The sequence below is a fragment of the Homo sapiens genome, chromosome 9, assembly GCF_000001405.40.
Source record: "Homo sapiens chromosome 9, GRCh38.p14 Primary Assembly".
In the NCBI taxonomy this organism is placed as follows: domain Eukaryota; kingdom Metazoa; phylum Chordata; class Mammalia; order Primates; family Hominidae; genus Homo; species Homo sapiens.
In genome coordinates, this window is record NC_000009.12 from 129,261,257 (window position 1) to 129,281,918 (window position 20,662).

General features: G+C 51.7%; 2 annotated features.

The window, feature by feature from the left end:
* Positions 15,775-16,683: an enhancer, noted in NCBI's record as "H3K4me1 hESC enhancer chr9:132039310-132040218 (GRCh37/hg19 assembly coordinates)". NCBI's record gives its function as "activates a minimal SCP1, AML or CMV promoter by ChIP-STARR-seq in primed H9 embryonic stem cells {active_cell/tissue: H9 hESC(primed)}" and the evidence as "EXISTENCE:reporter gene assay evidence [ECO:0000049][PMID:30033119]".
* Positions 16,684-17,592: an enhancer, noted in NCBI's record as "H3K4me1 hESC enhancer chr9:132040219-132041127 (GRCh37/hg19 assembly coordinates)". NCBI's record gives its function as "activates a minimal SCP1, AML or CMV promoter by ChIP-STARR-seq in naive H9 embryonic stem cells {active_cell/tissue: H9 hESC(naive)}" and the evidence as "EXISTENCE:reporter gene assay evidence [ECO:0000049][PMID:30033119]".

Below are 20,662 nucleotides of genomic sequence, written 5' to 3' on the forward strand. Positions count from 1 at the left end.
CTCTTCTTTCCTCACTTCCTGTTCTCTGTCCTCATTATTCCACCAGTCTATTGTCATTTTTTTCCCCTTCCCAGCCTGCCCAGCCAGGATATGCGGCAGGAGGTTCATTTTTGAAAGTATAAGAAGGGCCGCCGGGAATGAGTGTCTCACGGGGACAGAGTGTGCGTTTGGGAAGATGAGACGGTTGTGGAGATGGATGGTGGGGATGGTTACACAACAACGTGAATATGCTTAAAGCCACGTTCACGGAACACGTACAAATGACTAAAATGGTAACTTTCTGGTATGGATATTTTACCACAATAAAAAAAAAATGCTAAAAAAATTGTAAAGAAAAAGTGCTTTGTGTTTGCCGAACTTTTGAGGATGGGCCGCCCACTGCACATTTGCCGTTTCCCAAGCGCCTCCCACGGGCCAGGCCACGCACTTCCTCCTTTCATTCTGGAAACAAGCTTGAGGAGAGAGGTGGCGTCCTCCTTGTAGACGAGACTGAGGTTCAGAGCCTGGCAGGGGCGAGGCTGTCTTTGCAAACCCGACAGGCCTCTCTCTGGTTCTAAGAAGCACGGCAGGGACGGGGTAGGAATTTGGGCTCAAAATGGGCCTCTGGGCTGCGGAATCTTGAGCAAATTGCTTCCCATCACTGATCTTCCTCTTCTGACTATTGGGGACAATAATAGTGTCCTCCCTCGTGCAGGGGGAGGATTTGCTGAGATGTCGGAAGGTCCTAGCACAGCATCTTGGCCACCATCAAAAATAAAATTCTCCCCAGAGCTCTCCACGATGCCTCCCTTGCTGTCCAGAGGACAGAGGGCTGGAGGTAAGGTCAGGAGACCCGTGTCAGGGTCTCAGCCCTGAGGCTGACTTTGTCTGTGACCTTGGGGAAGTCCCCTGCCTTCCCTGGTCCTCAGGCTGCCCTCTGTAAAGTTAGGAGAGTGGGTAGAGTCAGCAGGGCTCTCTGGTTCTGGTTTTCTGGGGTTTCTCCCGTAATCCTGGTCCTGTCCAGAATCAATGTCCTCTCTCCCACCACCCGCTCTCTGGGCAGAGGGGTCTGGGCCCATCTCCAGTTCCACCTTTGCCCTCCACCCTGTCTTCTCAGGAGCGTCCAACCCCCAAGCAAGAGGAAAGGGAGGGGAAGGTGAAGGCAACAGAGTTCTTGATCCCAGGGTATGAGTCGCTGCCTAACACCCAGACCTGGCTTCTGACAGAAGCGCCAGCAGGAATTTCCCGCACCTCCGGTGTGAATCCTGTCCAGCTTCCTGCCATTGGCTTGAATTGTTGCCTGGTAACTCTAGGTGCAAATCACCCCTTCCCCGCAAACTACATGCTTTTTTTTTTTTTTTTTTTTTCTGAGACGGAGTTTCGCTCTTGTTGCCCAGGCTGGAGTGCAGTGGTGTGATCTTGGCTCACTGCAACCTCCGCCTCCTGGGTTCAAGCAATTCTCCTGCCTTAACCTCCCCAGTAGCTGGGATTACAGGCATGTGCCACCACGCCCGGCTAATTTTTATATTTTTAGTAGAGATGGGGTTTCACCATGTTGGCCAGGCTGGTCTCAAACTCCTGACCACAAGGGATCTGCCCACCTTGGCCTCCCAAAGTGCCGGGATTAAAGATGTGAGCCACTGTGCCTGGCCTCCCCACAACTACATGTAAGTTTCAGGATCTCAGAGACACGCTTCCTTTTGCCTGTCTCTTCTACCGTCTCCACAGGACTGGGCCAGGGGGGTGCTCCCGAGATATCCCACAGTTTTAGAGGGCCATTTAGCTAGGATCCTGGACGCTGGGAGCAAGAAAAAGAGAAAAATGGTGATTCCAAACTATAGGCTTCTGGAGGAAGAACACGTGCAGGGGAAGGCAGGCAAGGTCAGCACTCTGGGGGCTCCAGCAGATGCCAGGATGGTGCACACCGAATTCCTGGCACACGGGGGCTTAGTGACAGGACCTGGGCTATGGTGGTCACTGATAAATCATAATATTAAGAAACTCTAATGGGACATCCACAGGTGCTGGATGGAGAAAGGTAAGCATTTGGAGACATTTGACCACGATGATAATTTTCACACTAGGTGATGTTTTAGGGGTGATCACTGCATTTGAGGCACTGTGCTGAGCACTGACAGTCAAATTTCGTTTACATCTTAGAATGAGGCAGAGACTGTTGGCTTCTGCATTTTACAGATGGAGGCTGTATTAGTCTGTTCTCACATTGCTATAAAGAACTACCTGAGACTGGGTAATTTATAAAGAAAAGAGGTTTAATTGGCTCATGGTTCTGGGTAATTTACAAAGAAAAGAGGTTTAATTGGCTCATGATTCTGAAGGCTATATAGGAAGCATGGCTGGGGAGGCCTCAGGAAACTTACAGTAATGGTGGGAGGCGAAGGGGAAGCAGGCACACTTACCTGACTGGAGAGGGGAGTGGTACTGCCTACTTTTAAACAACCAGATCTTGTGAGAACTCACTCACTCTCATGAGAACAGCAATGAGGAGGTCAGCCCCATGATCCAAACACCCTCCACCAGGTTCCTCCTCCAGCACTGGGGATTACAATTTGACATGAGATTTGGGTGGGGACAGAAATCCAAACCGTATCAGAGACACTAAGGCTTCGGGGAAGCTGTGCCCAAGGTCACACAGCTGGTAATGATGCAGGGCAGGTGAGCCCCCAGATTGGGGCTTAGCCCTGGAGGGTTCTTGGCTTTGCCCAGGAAAGAATTCAAGGGTGAGCCGCTGGCATTAGGCAGCAGCTTGTATTGAGAAGGCTGTGCACAGCGGCAGCAGAGGTTCTGCTCTTAGTGGAACAGGGCTCTCCCATGGGCAGTGTGCCCAGAGTAGCAGCTCAGAGGCCGTTCTGCACTCATATTTATTATACCCACTTTTATTTTATTTTATTTTACTTATTTTAAGGTGGAGTCTCGCTCTGTCACCCAGTCTGGAGTGAAGTGGCACGATCTTGGCTCACTGCAACCTCCACCTCCCGGGTTCCGGTGATTCTCTTGCCTCAGCCTCCTGAGTAGCTGGGATTACAAGCACCCATCACCACACCCAGCTAACTTTTGTATCTTTAGTAAAGATGGGGTTTCACCATGTTGGCCAGGCTGGTTTCGAACTCCTGACCTCAGGTGATCTGCCGGTCTTTGGCTTCCCAAAGTGCTGGGATTACAGGTATGAGCCACCGTGCCCGTCCAATATACCCACTTTTAATTATTTCCAAATCAAGGGGCAGATTTTGCAGCGATTTTGAGAAAAAGAGTGGTAACTTCCCAATGATTGGGTTGTTGCCATGGAAAGGGGCAGTAACTGCCAGGTGTTGCCATGGCAATGGTAAACTGACATGGCACACCAGTGGGCGTGTCTTACAGAGAAGTGCTTTTGTCCCTTCCCTGTTTTAGCTAGTTCTCCATTTGATCAGGTGTTTGAGCCCCACCTCAGAGTCCAGTCCTGCCTCCTACCTCACGAAATGGCTGAGATTGAGAGACACATGTGGGCTGGGATTGAGGAAGGCCCAGAATTAGGGAGTAATGGGGTTTGGGGAGGACAGTTTACTGCCCAGGCTTGGTGGGGGTGGTGGGGAGTTGGTGTTCAGTCTAGCAGGTGAGAAGCAGCCACAGTGGGCCAGGGATAGGGGAGCATCGGAAATCACAGGGATGAGAAACAGTACTGAACAGACTTCTCCAGCCCTGACCAGACCTCAGTTCAGCAGGCGCTCAAATGACCATAGGTCCTATGAGGGAAGCTCTAAATCAACTTTCAAGCAAGAAAGGGAGCCCCCTGCTCCTCCATCTCATCCAGCCTCCTTCTATTTATTTATTTATTTATTTGAGACAGAGTCTCTCTCTGTCGCACAGACTGGAGCGCAGTGGTGAGATCTCGGCTCACTACAACCTCCGCCTCCCGGGTTCAAGTGATTCTCCTGACTCAGCTTCCCGAGTAGCTGGGACTACAGGCATGGGCCACCACTCCCGGGTAATTTTTGTATTTTTAGTAGAGATGGGATTTTACCATCTTGGCCAGGTTGGTCTTGAACTCCTGACCTCAGGTGATCCACCTGCCTCTGCCTTCCAAAGTGCTAGGATGACAGTCACGAGCCACTGCGCCTGGTCCACCAGCCTCCTTCTAGAGCTGAAACTGACTGTGAGAAAATGTGGGCCTTCATCAGAAAATCCATTCATTCATATGCTCATTAATTCACTATCTACTAAGCAGCACTCTGTGCCAGGCACTGTTCTCGCCCAGAAACACAGCAGGAAAAAGAGACAAAACTTTCTGCCATCATGGCCTCTACGTTCTAGTGGAGGGAGATGGACAGTAAGTGAAAAACTGCGTACGTTATATACTTTATTAGAGGTGACAGATACTATACAATGGAGAAAAATAAAGGTGGGGAGGGCAGAGAGAGTCCCAGGAAAGGTGGTTTGTGATGTAAAATAAGGGGGATGGGCATGGTGGCTCACAAATGGGGCGTGGGCAAGATGAGCCTGGAGTTGACAAGGAAGGGTGGGCTTAAGCGATTCTTGTGCCTCAGCCTCCCGAGCAGCTGGGATTACAGGTGCGTGCCACCATGCCAGGTTAATTTTTGTTTTTTTTTTTAGTAGAGATGGGCTTTCACTATGCTGCTCAGGCTGGTCTCAAACTCCTGGCCTCAAGTGATCTGTCTGCCTCAGCCTCCCAAAGTGCTGGGATTACAGGCATGAGCCGTTGTGCCCGGCTTCGGTTATCCTTTTTTATATGGTGAAAAAAGTACACAACCATAAAATATACCATCTTCACCATTTAAACAAAAAATTTTTTGAGACAGGGTCTCGCTATGTTGCCCAAGCAGGAGTACAATGTCTATTTGCAGGCATGATCATGGCTCACTGCAGCCTCCAACTCCTAGGCTCATGCGATCCTCCTGTCTCAGCCTCCTGAGTAGCTGCGACTACAGTGTGTGACACTGAGCCTGGCTCCGGCTTCACCATTTTTCAGTGTGTATTGCAGTGGCATTAAGAACATTCACATTCTCTGCAGCCATCACCACCATCCATCTCCAGAACCTTTTCATCTTCCTGAACTGAAACACTGTACCCAGTGAGCACCACCTCCTTATTCTCCCCTGCCCAGCCCTGGGCAGCTACCATCTGGTTTCTAGCTCTATGAATTTGACTGCTCTAGGGACCTCATATAAATGGAGTCATACGGTCTTTGTTTTTTTGGGTGTCTGGCTTATTTCTCTTAGCATAATGTCCCCAAGGTCAGTCCACACTGTAGCAAGAATCAGAATTCCCTTCCTTTTAAGGGCCCTGTGATATTCATCAATGACATATCCTTTCCAAGGACACGAGTCAACTTGTAACAGTGCCCAAGGCCTGAGTCTCAGTCATTTCAAGGATTTTAGAGGCCACAGACATGGGGAGGAAGGAACCAGCCAAGAAGCTTGAGGAAGCATGGCGGTGAGGTTGGAGGGGAAAGAATCATGAGTGCCTGCAGCGGGTATCGAGGCAGAGGGAGTGATGCCAGGGCCACAGCCTGCTGAGGGTCAGGGAAGAGGAGGCTGGAGATCCACCATCGGATGAGCAGTGGGAAGGCCATTGATGAGCTTTACAAGAGCAATGTTGGTGGACAGAGGGTGTGGCACCTGTCTGGAGTGAGTTCTGGGAGCCTGGGATGAGAAGAAGCAGACACAACAGGTAGAGAACTCTCTCCCTCTCTCTTTTCTTTTAGAGACAGGGTTTTGCTCTGTCACCCGGGCTGGAGAGCAGTGGTGCCATCATAGCTCACTGCAGCCTCAAACTCCGGGCTCAAGCAATCCTCCTACCTCGGCCTCCCAAAGTGCTGGGATTACAGGGGTAAGCCACTGCACCTGGTCAACTCTTTTGATAAATGTTGCCATAAAGGGGAGCAGAGAAATGGGGTGATGGCCGGAGAGAGGGGTGCAGTCAGAGGCTTTGCCAAGGTGGGAGTGGCCGCGGCCCTTCTGGATGCTGGTGAGAACTGTGCCGCAGGGATGGGACTGTGGGTGATGCAGGACAGAGCAGGACTGGAGCTCCTCCTCCAGGGGAGTTGGGATCTGGTGCAAGACAGGGTTGCCTGGGGGCCTGAGTGTCGATGTCTGGAAGCAGGAAGGTGGCTGAGGGACAGGCCCAGGCACCCAGGGGTAGAAGCCAAGGTGACCGTCCCTGGGTTTTATCCTTCTTGTCTCTGTCCCTCTGAAATAAAAAGCAGGGTCGCCAGGTGAGAGAGAGTCGGAGAGATGGTGTGGGTGGGCGAGGGACGAGGAGGAGGGCTGGACTTGTGACCCAGCAGGGGGCAAGTGGATGGGCAGGGAAGGAGATTTAACCGATGGAAATCATGCCGGCTGTGCACCTGCTCTGTGCCAGGAGTCATGCCAATAGCACTTCCACGTTTTCTCATTTAATTCTCCCAGCTCTCTATGTGGTGTCTGTCATTTTTATTTTCCATTTTACAGAGGTGGAGACTTTAAGTCTGAGGAAGGTGCCATGGTCTGAATGTGTGTGCCCCTCAGATACATGAGTTGAAACCTAACCCCTAAGGTGGTGGCATGAGGAGGTGGGGCCTTTGGGGGTGACCTGGTCATGATGGTGGAGCCCTTAGGAATGGGATTCATGCCCTTATAGAAGAGGCCCCAGAGAGCTGTCTTGTCCCTTCCACGTGAGGATGCAGAGATGTGGTGCTGTCTATGAACCAGAAAGTGACCCTCCCCAGACACTGAATCTGCTGGTGCCTTAATCTTGGACTTCCAGCCTCTAGAACTGTGGGAAATCAATCTTTGTTGTTTTTCTTTACTTTTTTCTTTTTTGAGACAGGGTCTCACTCTGTCGCCCAGGCTGGAGTGCCTGGCACAATCACCGCTCACTGTAGCCTCAACCTTCCTGGCTCAAGCGATCCTCAGACTCCTGAGTAGCTGGGACCGCAAGTGTGCACCATGACACCTGGCTAATTTGATTTTGATTTTCATGTTTTATAGAGAAACGGTCTTGCCGTGTTGCCCAGGCTGGTCTCCAACTCCTGGGCTCAAGTGATCCTCCTGAAGTGTTGGGATTACAGGCATGAGCCACTTTGCCCGGCCTAATCTCTATTGTGTTTTATTTTTATTTTAAATTTTTTCCCTTTTACTACATATGTAACAAAACTGCACTAATCTCTGTATTTTATAAGCTACCTAGTTTATAAAACTAGGCAGTTTATGGTATTTGTCTCAGCAGTCCAAACAGACTAGCATAGAAGGTGATACAACTTTCCTTCGATTATATAACCTGTAAGACTGACCACCAAACAATCCTGTCCAAATCCCAGAAGAAGCCTGAAGACTATTTTTTCAATTATAAAATTACATTTTTCCCTCTCTGTAAAAGTACTAAATGTTTATTTCAGAAAATTAAAAAATTCAAAGTAAGGTAAATATGAAAAAAAAATTAAATGCTTATAGTTTCACCATCCAGGAATAATGACTGTTAAATGGGGTGATTTCCTTGCAGTAATGTTTTTTATACATATTAACTGGCAGACGTGATGCTGTGTGTTCAGCAAATCCTGTTTCCCTTCTCCTCTGACATGCAGCTAGACTACATTTCCCAGCCTCCCCTGCAAGGAGAGTGTCACATGACTGGGTCTGACCAGTGGAATGTGGGAGAAGGTAATGTCCCTTACTTATCAGCCTGTTCCATAAAATCTTCTATTACTCCTTCAAGTTCTCTCTTCTTTGGATGCTCTCAGGATGGGAAGGACCCAGTGAAGGACCTAGTGAAGGACTCCAACACCCTAGTGAGCAGCCAAGCTGCTAGATGGAAGAAACCAGGGTTCCCAAATGACCCAGTAGAGTCAAGACTCTTCCCAACCCCTGCTGCCCAACATTTGACAGTGTCTTGGGGAGAAATGAACCTTAGTTGTGTTAAGCCATTGAACTCTGGGAGTTGTTGGTTAAAGCAGTTAGCCTTACACAGCAACATCATGTAAATATTGGAATCATATTACAGATACCCTTTTTGGCAGGCCAGGGGCAGTGGCCCATGCTTGTAATTCCAGCATTTGAGGCTAGGAGTTCGAGGCCAGTTTGGCCAACATGGCAAAACCCCATCTCTACTAAAAATACAAAAATTAGCCAGGCGTGATGGCACATGCCTGTAATTCCAGCTACTCGGGAGGCTGAGGCATGAGATCACTTGAATCCGGGAGGTGGAGGTTGCAGTAAGCTGAGATCATATCACCGTACTCCAGCCTGGGTGACAAAATGAAACTCTGCCTCAAAAAAAAAAGATACCCTTTTAGGCTGATTTATTATTATTGTTACTATTACTTAACATTTATCACAACCTTTCACCATATTATTAAATCACTTTTTTTTTGAGACAGAGTCTTGCTCCATTGCTCAGGCTGAAGTGCAGTGGTGCAATCTCGGCTCACTGCAACCTCCACCTCCCTGGCTCAGGTGATCCTCCCACCTCCACCTACCAAGTAGCTGGGACTACAGGCGCCTGCCACCATGCCCAACTAATTTTTGTATTTATTTATTTATTTTTGAGATGGAGTTTCGCTCTCGTTGCCCAGGCTGCAGTGCAAATGGCGCGATCTTGGCTCACTGCAATCTCCGCCTCCCAGGTTCAAGTGATTCTCCTGCCTCAGCCTCCCGAGTAGCTGGGATTACAGGCATGCGCCACCACGCCTGGCTAATTTTGTATTTTTAGTAGAGACAGGGTTTCTCCATGTTGGTCAGGTTGGTCTCAAATTTCCAACATCAGGTGATCCGCCCACCTCGGCCTCCCAAATTGCTGGGATTATAGGCATGAGCCACTGCGCCTGGCCTAATTTTTGTATTTTTAGTAGAGATGGGGTCTCACCATGTTGGCCAGGCTGGTCTTGAACTCTTGGCCTCAAGTGTTCCGACTGCCTCAGCCTCCCAAATTGCTGGGATTAGAGCCATGAGCCACCATGCTGGGCCCATATCATGAAACCACTTTTGACAGCATAATTTTAATGGTGGCACAGAGTCCGTTATCATTATTTATTTACCCAGTCCCGTGTGGATATGTAGGTTGCTTCTGACATTTGCGTTTGTATGTCATGCTCCAGTGAACATCCTGGTGATCAACTGGGTGGCCCCATCTGCAGATGCACTTGTGAAACCTACCTTGGTTTCCTGCCTGAGCCTCTCCTGTATCGGTGCTTAAAAGGGTGCCCTAACTCTGCAGAAACTATCAGTAGAAATGAGTGTAGGGGGCCAGGCGCGATGGCTCACGCCTGCAATCTCAGCACTTTGGGAAGCCAAGGTTGGTGGATCACTTGAGGTCAGGAGTTCGAGACCAGCCTGGCCAATATGGTGAAACCCCGCCTCGAATAAAAATACAAAAATTAGCTGGGCTTGATGGCGCGAGCCTGTAATCCCAGCTGCTTGGGAGGCTGAGGCAGGAGAATCACCTGAACCTGGGAGGCAGAGGTTGCAATGAGCTGAGATTGCACCATTGTACTCCAGCCTGGGTAACAGAGTGAGACTCTGTGTCAAAACAAAAAAACAGAAGAGTGTAGGGGGTGAAATGTACGTTCTTGGGCTAAGTTGTGTGAAAAGCCTGGATTTTCCAGATCTGATCTCCTTTTGCCCTGTGCCCCCTTTCCTGCTGATGTCTTGGCAGTGGGGAGAGGAGGGGTGACAAAACCGAAAGTCTCTCTTTTTTTTTTTTTGTAAAGTCGTCTCTTACAGGAAAATATGTGGTCCTTTCAAAGCCCTATCCCTTGTAAGGGTGGTTTCTCTGCACTCGGGGGGGTCTCCCTCCTGTTTCCTTTTGAAGATGGTGTCTGGCTGTGTGGAGAAGCTTGCATGGGCCAGGACAGGAGTCTCTTGCCCTACTTGCCATCACTGGACCTGCTCAGGAGGGGCGGGTCTGGTCTGCCCTGGTCTCCGGGAACCGCATCCACGTTCTCTGAGGCTGACTGGACTTCGCTTTGCCCTGAAAACTTCCAATTCACAGTCAATCTTCTTCCCATATGTTGTTTTTTTCTGTGGCTGCTCTAATAAAGTCCCACAAACCCGGTGGTTGAAAACCACAGAAATGTGTTCTCTCACAGTCCCAGAGGCCAGAAGTCTGAAATCAATGTGTGGGCAGTGCCGTGCCTCCTCTGAAACCTCTAGGGGAAGGTCCTTTCTTGCCTTTCCGGCTTTAGCCCCAGACTTACAAATGCATCTCTCCACTCTCTGCCTCCAATGTCACATGGCATTTTCCTCTTCTTCTAAGAACACCACTCATATTGGATTAGGCCCCACCTAATGACCTCTTCTTAATTATATCTGCAAGGACCTTTATTTCCAAATAAGGTCACATTCACAGGTACTGGGGGTTAGGGCCGCAGCATATCTTTTTTGGGGACACACTTCAACCCATAAGACCATCCCATTCAGTTCCTGGGCTTCCTCCACTCAGCTGCAGGGGTTGGGGGTCTCTGTGAGACTGTCCTCAGCCCCTCTGCCTGGGGACTGGGGACCCTCAGTCATTTCCATCTGCTGCAGCCTGGCCACACTGGGTGCAATGTCAGGCCTAAGGTGAGCCTCGCAGACCCCTTAGGATGCATCCTGGGGACATAGGCACCAGCTCTGATGTCCTCGGATCCCCCAAACCTATCTGAATCTTTCTACTGCCCCCAGACGCCTCACGCCTGACTTTCAGCCTCCCTTCCCCTCCTCCTGCCCTGAAAGGGGCTTCCAGTCCCCGCTGCTGTCTAGCAGGGACTCTCCTTTTGTCACAGTCCCCTTCTTCCCTAGTCAGGGATGCAGATGGTATCCACACGGCTCTTCATGGGACCAAACGCTTCATGGTTTAAGTTTTATGGTAGGGAGATGCTGGGGAGAGAGAAAATGTACTGAATTAGCAACAGGGGAGACACAGCAGGAAACATTTCCACAATTCTATGCCTGTTGAAATGATTTTGATGTTGAGCCCTATTTGCCTTGACCTTTTTTCTTGTTTTTTTTTTGAGATGAAGTCTTGCTCTGTTGCCCAGGCTGGAGTGCAGTGGTGTGATCTCAGTTCACTGCAACCTCCACCTCCCGGGTTCAAGCAATTCTCCTGCCTCAGCCTCCTGAGTAGCTGGGATTACAGGCATGCACCGCCACGTCATGCTAATGTTTGTATTTTTAGTAGAGACTGGGTTTCACCATGTTGGCCAGGCTGTTCTTGAACTCCTGACTTCAGTGATCCGCCCATCTTGGCCTCCCAAAGTGCTGGGATTACAGGGGTGAGCCACTGCGCCTGACCTTGCCTTGACATTTGAAAGGCTAAACAAGGCAAACCCTGGCCTTATTTCCTCCCCCAGCCCAGTTACCCGCTCAGCCAGCCCAGCCATGCTTCCCAGTCAGTCTCCCACTGCTCCTGGCCTCTTCTGGCCCCTTGGCACACGTTCTCATTTTCTGGAACACTCTTCCCCTACCCCCTTCCCTGGGCAACTCCTCCTCATGCTTTGGGTCCCAGCTTGTACAATACTTCATCGGAGAAGTTGCCCCCCATGCCCCAGACACATGACCCCCACCATGGGCTGCGTGTTTTATATTTGTGACCCTCAGCGGACCACAAGCTCCATGAGGGGAGGGGCCATGTCATTTCCTTCACCTCTGCTGTTCCTACTACTGGCACTTGTAGTGAGGTAGGGTGGGACTGGACTCTGGAGGCAGACCTTGGACACTGGACCAAATTGACCTTGGACACTGGACTAGCTAAAGCAAGCCTGGGGTGGAAGCACCTCTTCATAAGGCTGCCCACCAGTGTGCCATGCCAGTTTACCATTGGCATGGCAACACCCAGAAGTGACTGCCCTTTCCATGGCAACAGCCCAATGATCTGGAAGTTACCACCCTTTTCCTAGAAATTTCTACATGAACTGTCCCTTAATTTGCATATAATTAAAAGTGGGTATCACTATGAGTGCAGAATTGGATCTGAGCTGCCACTCTGGGCACACAGCCTGCGGGGGAGCCCTGCTCTGCAGGGAGCAGTTCCTCCGCTGGGCTAGGCATGGCCACTTTAATACAAGCTGTTGTCTAACACCACCAGCTCACCCTTACATACTTTCCTGGGTGAAGCCAAGAACCCTCCTGGGTTAAGCCCCAGTTTTGGGGCTCATCTGCCCCGCATCAGTAGGAACCCACCAAGTGTGGGAAGAGGGAATGGAAGCCAGCGGAAGTGATGCCATCATTTTGTATGATGTTTACTCCGTGAAAGTGCCGACATGCAGCTGTTGTCAACCTACAAACATGGCAACTGCTTATGATCAAAGCCCTCCTCAAGCCCCCACTTTTGGTAGACCCCCATCACTTGGTGATGGTCAGCTCGTCTGCTGGGGAGGGGAGGCTGCAAATGGTCTGTCATTTACCGGGCATTTCCTTTCTCCTCTCGAGTTGACAACCGACCCTTTCAGGCTCAGCCGGTTCTACCTTGAGTGAGAGCGTGAGTGTGCGATGAAGTAGCTCCCATGGTTTAGCTAGCTGCTCTCCATGCCCTCCCTCCACACCCTGCTGAGTTCGCTTCATGCATCTTGTCTTAGAGCAGCTTGGAGACTGACCACTATTTGAGCCAGTGTACAGCAGCAGTGAAGAGCAATGGATTTGGTATCAAACAGCCCCCAGCATGGGGCCTGGCACACAGTAGGTGTTCAATAAATGCTGATGGAATTATGAAAAACAAATTGGGATTTGTGTCACAGCTCTGCTACTTATTGGCTTTGAGACCCTGGGCAAGTGACACATGCTCTCTGAGCTCAGCTCCTCCCGTGGTATCTGGAGACCCCCGAGGTCAGCCTCACCCAGACACCTTCCCAGCTTCATCTCTGACTGCACTCGTGTGCTTCAGCCAGACACACCACTTGCTGTTTCTGTTCCAACCTCATCCGTCTTCCAGGCTCCTTGCTCCTTTCAGGCCGGCCCTTGCACCTGGACCGATTTTTACCAAACGAGGTGATGTGTGTCAAAGCACATTGGCGATGGATGGCTACTATCAAACAAACAGAAAATAGTAAGTGTTGATGAGGATGTGGAGAAATTGGAGCTCTCGGGCATTGCTGGTGGGAATGAAAATGGTGCAGCCGCCGTGGAAAACAGCATGGCAGTTCCTCAAAAAAAGTAAAAATAGAATTACCATATGATCTAGCATTTCCACTTCTGGGTATATACTCAGAAGAATTGAAAGCAGGGTCTCAAAGAGAGATCTGTGCACCCATCGTCATAGCAGCATTATTCGCAATAGCCAAAAGGTGGAAGCATCGATGGGCGAATGGATACGCAAAATGTGGTGTAGACACGCAAGGGACTCGGATTCAGCCTTAAAGAGGAAGGAGGTTCTGACACACATTGCAGTGTGGATGAACCTTGAGGATATTATGCTAGTGAAATAAGCCAGCCCCAAAAAGTTAAATGCTGTATGATTCCACTTACACAAAATACTTAGAGTCGTCATAATCATAGAGACAGAGAGTGTTGCCAGGGGCTGGAGGGAGCGGGTAACGGGAATGAGCGTTTACTGGGGACAGAATCTCATACTATAAAGATGAAAACTTTCTAGAGATGAAGGTGGTGATGCTTGCACAACCACGTGCGTGTACGATGCCACTGGACTGAACATGTAAAATGCTTGCAATGGTAAACTATGTGTTATGTGTATTTTACAAGCAAAAAAAGAAAACTTTGGTAATTGCCTGTGCCAGAAGCCACCATGCCCTGGCTTAGCGGGACAGAGGAGCCAGCCCCTGGGAACAGACTCCTACCCTTGAGAAAAGGCTAAGACCACTGTGGTGGGCTCTCCCCAGGCTCCCCTTGCTCTAGCCTGGCCTTGCCTCTCGGTTCCCTGAATCAATCAATCTTTCTTTCTTTCTTTTTCTTTCTTTCCTTCTTTCTCTCTCGCTCTTTCTTTCCTTCCTTCCTTTCTCTTTCTTTCCTTCCTTCCTTCCTTTATCTTTCTTTCTTCCTTTCCTTTCTTTCTTTCCTTCTCTCTCTCTTTCTTTCCTTCCTTCCTTTCTCTTTCTTTCTTTCTCTTTCTTTCTTTCCTTCCTTCCTTCTTCTTTCTTTCTTTCTTTCTTTCTTTCTTTCTTTCTTTCTTTCTTTCGGTCTCGCTCTGTCACTCAGGCTGGAGTGCAGGGGCACAATCACAGCACACTGCCACCTTGACTTCCTGGGCTCAAGCAAACCTCCCACCTCAGCCTCCTAAGCAGCTGGGACCACAGGCACATGCCACCATGCCCAGCTAATTTTTGTATTTTTTGTAAGGACGAGGTCTCACTATGTTGCCCAGGCTGGTCTCAAACTCCTGAGCTCAAGTGATCCTCTAGTCTCGGCCTCCCAAAGTGCTGAGATTACAGGTGGGAGCCCCTACATCTGTTCTGAAATCTTCTTCGCCCTTCCCCCCACCCCCTTGTCAGCCCCTACGTCAACAGCCACGTCCATGATACACCCTGGGTCCTGACTTGGTCAGTAACACCCTCCCATCTGCCATTTCCGCCTGAAGCATCCCATCTTGGAGCACTGCCTCTTGTCTTTCCACACATTCCCTCTGCAACCTTAACTCTGATCTTTCTTTGCCTCTTGCCATCTGCCCCCAGGGCACATTCCTTTTCCTTCACCTCCCGTGTCCTCTGCTTCCTTGGGTTCCAGGCTCATTGTCTGCTGCAGACGCCCTCAGTCACCCTGCCCTCCCCCTCCTCCATCCACCTGGCAGAACCCCTGTCCCGGTTGAGTTCTGGGTGCTGCTCAGTGTGCTCTGACATCCAAGCAGCGGAGCCCTGGACAAAGCCACCTGATGGCACAAACAGCTTTATATCTCATGACCTTGACCTCCAACAAACATTTGTGCTGTCCAGCAATCCTCTGTGTTCCTCGGTCAGCTTGCAGCCCCCGTCTCCCAGACCACAACTTCTCTCTCTCCCCAAACCTCCAATACCCCACCCTCCCTCAGCCCTCATTCTCACTGTCGGATGATAGGTTGCTTTTTTTTTTTTTTGAGGCAGGATCTTGCTATGTTGCTGAGGCTGGAGTACAGTGGTGTGATCACGATTCACTGCAGCCTCAAACTTCTGGGCTAAAGTGATCCTCCCTCCTCATCCTTCTTGAGTAGCTGGGGCTACAGGTACACATCACCACGCCTGGCTAGCTTTTTTTTCTTTTTCTTTTTTGTAGAGACAGGGTCTCACTATGTTGCACAGGCTGGCCTCAAACTCCTGAGCTCAAGACATCCTCCTGCCTTGGCCTCCCAGAATGTTGGGATTACAGGCATGAGCTTCATTGAAAACGCAGAGGCAATCAGAGGCATTCCTGGCCCTGCACTCACCAGCCTCCCTGGGTGTCCCCCTGGGCAGCTGCCCCTCCTTTCATGCCCATCAGCTGTCCCTCCTCTCATGCCCGTCAGGTCCTTCCCTGCCCGGGCCCCGTGCACCTCGCTTCCTCTCCACCTTCCCCTGGCTTCCCTTCACATGGCCCCATCTCTCCTGCGTCACCAGCTGTTTCCTCTCCTGGGTCAGCCCCATCAGCATGCCACAAACATGCAGGAATGCCCCCAGATTGTAAGAAGCCACCCTCTGACCCCACAATCCCCTTTAGCTTCCGCCGTGCTTATCCGATCCCCTTCCAGCATATTCCCTTGGAAGGGTGGTCTCTGTGCTGTCTCTCCGCTCCTCCCCCGGCCCCCATCATCCCCCAGGCCCACCAAAGTTGGGCTCCCAGCCCTGCCATTCCACCCAAACAGCTCTTGCCAAGGTCAGCATTGACCATCACAGTCCTCCACCTGCCAGCAGCCTCAGACATGGCCGCTCACTCCTTCTGTCTGTCAACACACCCTTCTCCTGGCCCCAGGACATGGCTTTGCCTCCCACTTTGCCTCCCTGCCTCTCATTTGCTCCTCCTGTCCTGTGTAAACTGCCTGCCCGCCCTCTTACTGGGAGAGCTCTTCCATCCCAGGCGCTGGGTCCCAGGTTCCTCCCCGAAGTCCGGCCCCTCCCCTGACCTCTAGGCCTGCACTCCCAAAGGACGGGTTCCTCGATCCTCAAACTTAATGTTTCCCAAACCCCATCTCCTCCACTGATAAGCTTGAAACCTGCTCCTCCCACAGCAAATGGAAATTGCGTGCTCTGCTTCCTCAGGTCAAAGCTCTTGGAGCAGCCCTTGACCCCCACCTCTCCATTACATCCACGTGATGGGTTGCCTTTTTTTTTTTTTTTTGAGACAGGGTTTCACTCTGTCACCCAGGCTGGGGTACAGTGGCACAATCATAGCTAGACCAGCGATCGTCTGAGCTCTCACTTTAAAACACACTTGAGGCCCGGTATGGTGGCTCAAGCCTGTAATCCTAACCCCTTGGGAGGCCAAGGAAGGTGGATCATCTGAGGTCAGTTCGAGACCAGTCTGGCCAGTATGGTGAAACTCTGTCTCTACTAGGCCAGGCGCGGTGGCTCATGCCTGTAATCCCAGCACTTTGGGAGGCCGAGGCGGGCAGATTATGAGGTCAGGAGATTGACACCATCCTGACTAACACAGTGAAACCCCATCTCTACTAAAAATACAAAAAATTAGCCGGGCATGGTGGCAGGTGCCTGTAGTCCCAGCTACTGGGGAAGCTGAGGCAGGAGAATGGCGTGAACTGGGGAGGCAGAGCTTGCGGTGAGCTGAGATCGCGCCACTGCACTCCAGCCTGGGCGACAGAGTGAGACTCCGTCTCAAAGAAAAAAAAAAACAAACCCTGTCTCTCCTAAAAATACAAAAATTAGCTGGGTGTGGAGGTGCATGCTTGTAATTCCAACTACTCGGGAGGCTGAGGCAGGAGAATCGCTTGAACCTGGGAGGCGGAGGTTGCAGTGAGTGGAGATCGCCGTCAGTGCACTCCAGCCTGGGTGACAGAGCGAGACTCCGAGACTCCGTCTCAGAAAAAAAACAAAATGAAACAAAAACCTCACACATTTGGCCCCCGGCCCCTTTCCAGGGTGCCTGGGACCCAGGGCTGGGCCATCCCCGCTCCCCCATAAGAATGCCGCAGTTCCCCACAGTCTCCCAGCTCCACCCTTCTCCACACAGAAGCTAAAAGACCCTTTTAAAATGCAAGTCAAATCCCATCTCTTGCCGGCTCAGAACCCCCCAGGGGCTTGCGGAGAGGAAGATGCAAAGTCCTAGCTGCTGCCCACCAGGCCTGACTGACCTACGTGGCTGACCCCATCACAGGCCCCAGGAAGGCAGGGCTGTGTCTGTCTGGTCGTGGGTGTCTCGGCACCCAGGCCATGCATCGGTACATATTTGATGGATGAATAAGTGACGGATGGGTGACTGCGGCTTCCCTGGGAGGCTCCGCCCTGCCTTGGAACCCAGCCCAGCCCAGCCTCCGCGCTTCCCTGCCTGCCTGGGCCTGCACCTGGCCAACCCCCGCAACAACCTCCACCAGGTGTGCAGCCTTGAAAACTGTTGGTTCTGGTTGCCAACTCTCCTAGCAGAGAGGGGTGCTCCAGGGACCAAGGGTCTGTGGTACCTGAGCAAATCTCTTCTAGCTGCCCTGACCACCCTCCTGTGGGTCCCTCTCCTCCATTTCCCCCACCTGGTGGGTGGGGCTGAGGGAGCAGAGACCACGCCCCCAATCCAGCCACACTCTTCTTCCAGCCAACCAAGCACCAGAAAACCAAGATTTGCACAAAGAGCTGGTGGCCTGGGAGCAGGTCCCTCAGGCTCCTCACATCTGCCCTGCAGAAGGGGCAGACATTGTCTCATTCTGGGAGTCACTCATGGTACCGAGATCAAACCCCCAGGTAACCCCCACACAGCCTTGCACAAGCCTTGCTTCTCACTTTGGACATCTACATTGCACCACTTGGGGTCGTCATTTGTAGCCAGCGAGGTGACCTGGGTGGGGGCAGAGCTGGATCTAGAACCCCCCCCCCGGTCCCTCCCCTGGGCAAGGGCCCCACATTTCCTTTTCCAGTGATGCTCCCATGCCCAGAATCTTTCTGGACTCCAGCTGCAGAATGGCCATTCATCTCGGGTTTCAATTTCCCACCTGCCCCTTTGACCTCCCCAGGCGGGGAGCGGGGGCCTTGGCTGGGCTTGTCGCTGGGGCTTGGGGGCAACTCGCCCAGTGAGAACCTGCTACGTGCCAGGTGCGCCTCTCACCCAGTCCTCACAGCAGCCCTGCATCTTCACAAATGAGAAAACAGGCCGGGCGCGGTGGCTCATGCCTGTAATCCCAGCACTTTGGGAGGCCAAGGTGGGTGGATCACCTGAGGTCAGGAGTTCCAGACCAGCCTGGCCAACATAGTGAAACCCCGTCTCTACTAAAAATACAAAAATTAGCCGGGTGTGATGGCGGGCGCCTGTAATCCCAGCTACTCAGGAGGCTGAGGCAGGAGAATCACTTGAACCCGGGAGGCAGAGGTTGCAGTGAGCCGAGATCGTGCCACTGCACTCCAGCCTGGGCGACAAAGGGAGACTCTGTGTTAAAAAATAAATAAATAAAAGAAAAGAAAACAAAGAAGAAAGGTCCCTGGTTAGGGCCACGGGGGGATGCAGCAGGGCCCATGGCCTGGGAGGGGGTGGTGGCTGGGCGGTGCCAGGATGGAGAGATACATCTGTCTTATAAGAGTGGGCAGACAGGCCCTTGTTCCAGGAGCTGAAATGAAACAGAACTGTGTATATATCTTCTCATCTATAGACTAAATTAAACTAACTCATAGAAATAGTCTGTTTTAAGTTTCTTTACTTAAAAGTATCTTACACGTTTAACACCTGCCAATACACGTATGTACGTGATATTCAGTAATGATCATTGCAAACTGGGCACGGTGGCTCATGCCTGTAATCCCGACACTTTGGGAGGCTGAGATGGGAGGATCACTTGAACCCAGGAGGTTGAGGCTGCAGTGAGCTGTGATGGTGCCACTGCCCTCCAGCTTGGGTGACAGAGCAAGATCCTGTCTGTAAATAATAATAATAATAGTAATAACTGCGACCACCTATACAAATTTCATCTATACATCCCAGGTATTGTGCACCCTCCATACAAATGTATGAAAATTCACAGAAAGCCTGTGCTTGGTCAGTGCTATCATCAGGCCTATTTGGCAGATGCAGAAACAGGCTCACAGAAGGGAAGTCACTTGCTGAAAGCCACATGGCTGGCACGGGGTGGCACTGAGACTTGCACCCAGATCTGGGCAGCATTAAAACCCCTGCCCCACCCGTGGTCCTCTCCTGTCTCCGTGTTAGCGTGGAGCCCTGAGATGTTTTAGGAGCCGGCTTTCCGATTTCCATCTGTGTTTGTGGTGATTGCCCTGATCTTTCAGGCATTCTGCCCTAGAAAGCCCCTTGGGGAGGGGGCTTCCTGTTTCACCTGCTTGGACGTGGCTTTGGAGCTAAGACCGAGAGGAGTCAAGGTGGGATTCCTCGGATGCCCTGAGGGAGTGCGATGGGATGCCTGGGGGCTGCTCCTCCAGCCTCAGACACTCCTGCCCACAGCCCCTGGCCAGGCCCTGCCTGAGCCACTGCTCTAGGCTGCAAAGGGCTGGCTCTCATTTCCTAATTCATCCTGCCAGCTGGAGCCAAGGTGGACTCTCCCCATAGACTGGGATGAGTGCCCTGGCCCAGCTGGACCTGGTGGTGGCTATGAGCCCCCTTGTGTCACCTTTTCCCTACCCAGGGCTCATCACAAGCTGCAGGGGGATGCTCTTGGGTCTCAGGGAGAGTGGCCTGAGTCCCCCGGGGCTTCTGAGTGCATCCAGGCTGCTCTGCTGACCCTGGAAGGCAACCAGGGAAGCTGTGAGGTCAGGGTAAGGGATGGGCCTCAAGAGCGGGTCATGGCCCAGCTGGGGCCTGTGTGGACAGAGGCCTCACTGTCTCCACTGCATGCAGGGAGTCTTGAGGCCAAGTGACACATTTGCCACCTGTGACATACGCCACCAGCCCGTGTGTCTGTGCCCCAGATACAGCCAGCCAGTGCAGAGTGAGGCCTGCCAGGGCCCTGTGTTGTGGGGATGTGACAGAGCTGCCAGTCCTGGTGCAGGTGAGACGTCACCGCCATCCCAGCTGGTCTCCACCTGGAGGACAATTTGGGGACCTCCTGGCACCCTCATGCGTTCCCTCCCCCTTGTTCTGCGTGACTGCCTGTTTTAATTCACATGTCCCTTTCTAAGACTTACAACTGCATTTCTCATAAAGGAAATTATTGGCACAGGGGATAATTGTGATCCAACTCTCTGGCTTCACTTAGAAATCGAGAGGGTGGTCAGTGGGGTCCCACTTACGAGAAGTTCCGGATGGCAGAACAGTACTACAGACATCATGGTCCTCAGGAGGATGCTGTCCTGCCCCAGAGAGGCCGCCGAGGGCTGGCGGAGGGGACCTGGAAGGCAGGTGGGGTTGACTGAGATGTGCCAGGTCGGGAGGGAATCCCAGGGCGGGGACCCTAGAGAAAGCGTGGCACATCTGTGGAGAGCGGACGGGCCACGCTGGGAGTGGAGGGCTGAGGGCTATGTCAGCCCGCTCCAGCAGGAGGACATGAGCCAGGCCTGTCCAGAGGGCTTCTGCAACCTCTTCTGGAAAAAGGACCAGGGAGGTACCTGTTTCATGCCCAGGAGGTCATGATAGTGCCTATCAGCGTTAAATGCCATCTGGTCCTTGCCTCGCAAGGAGCCCTGTCCCCTGGTTCACTGGCTTAGGGGTGCCCCTCA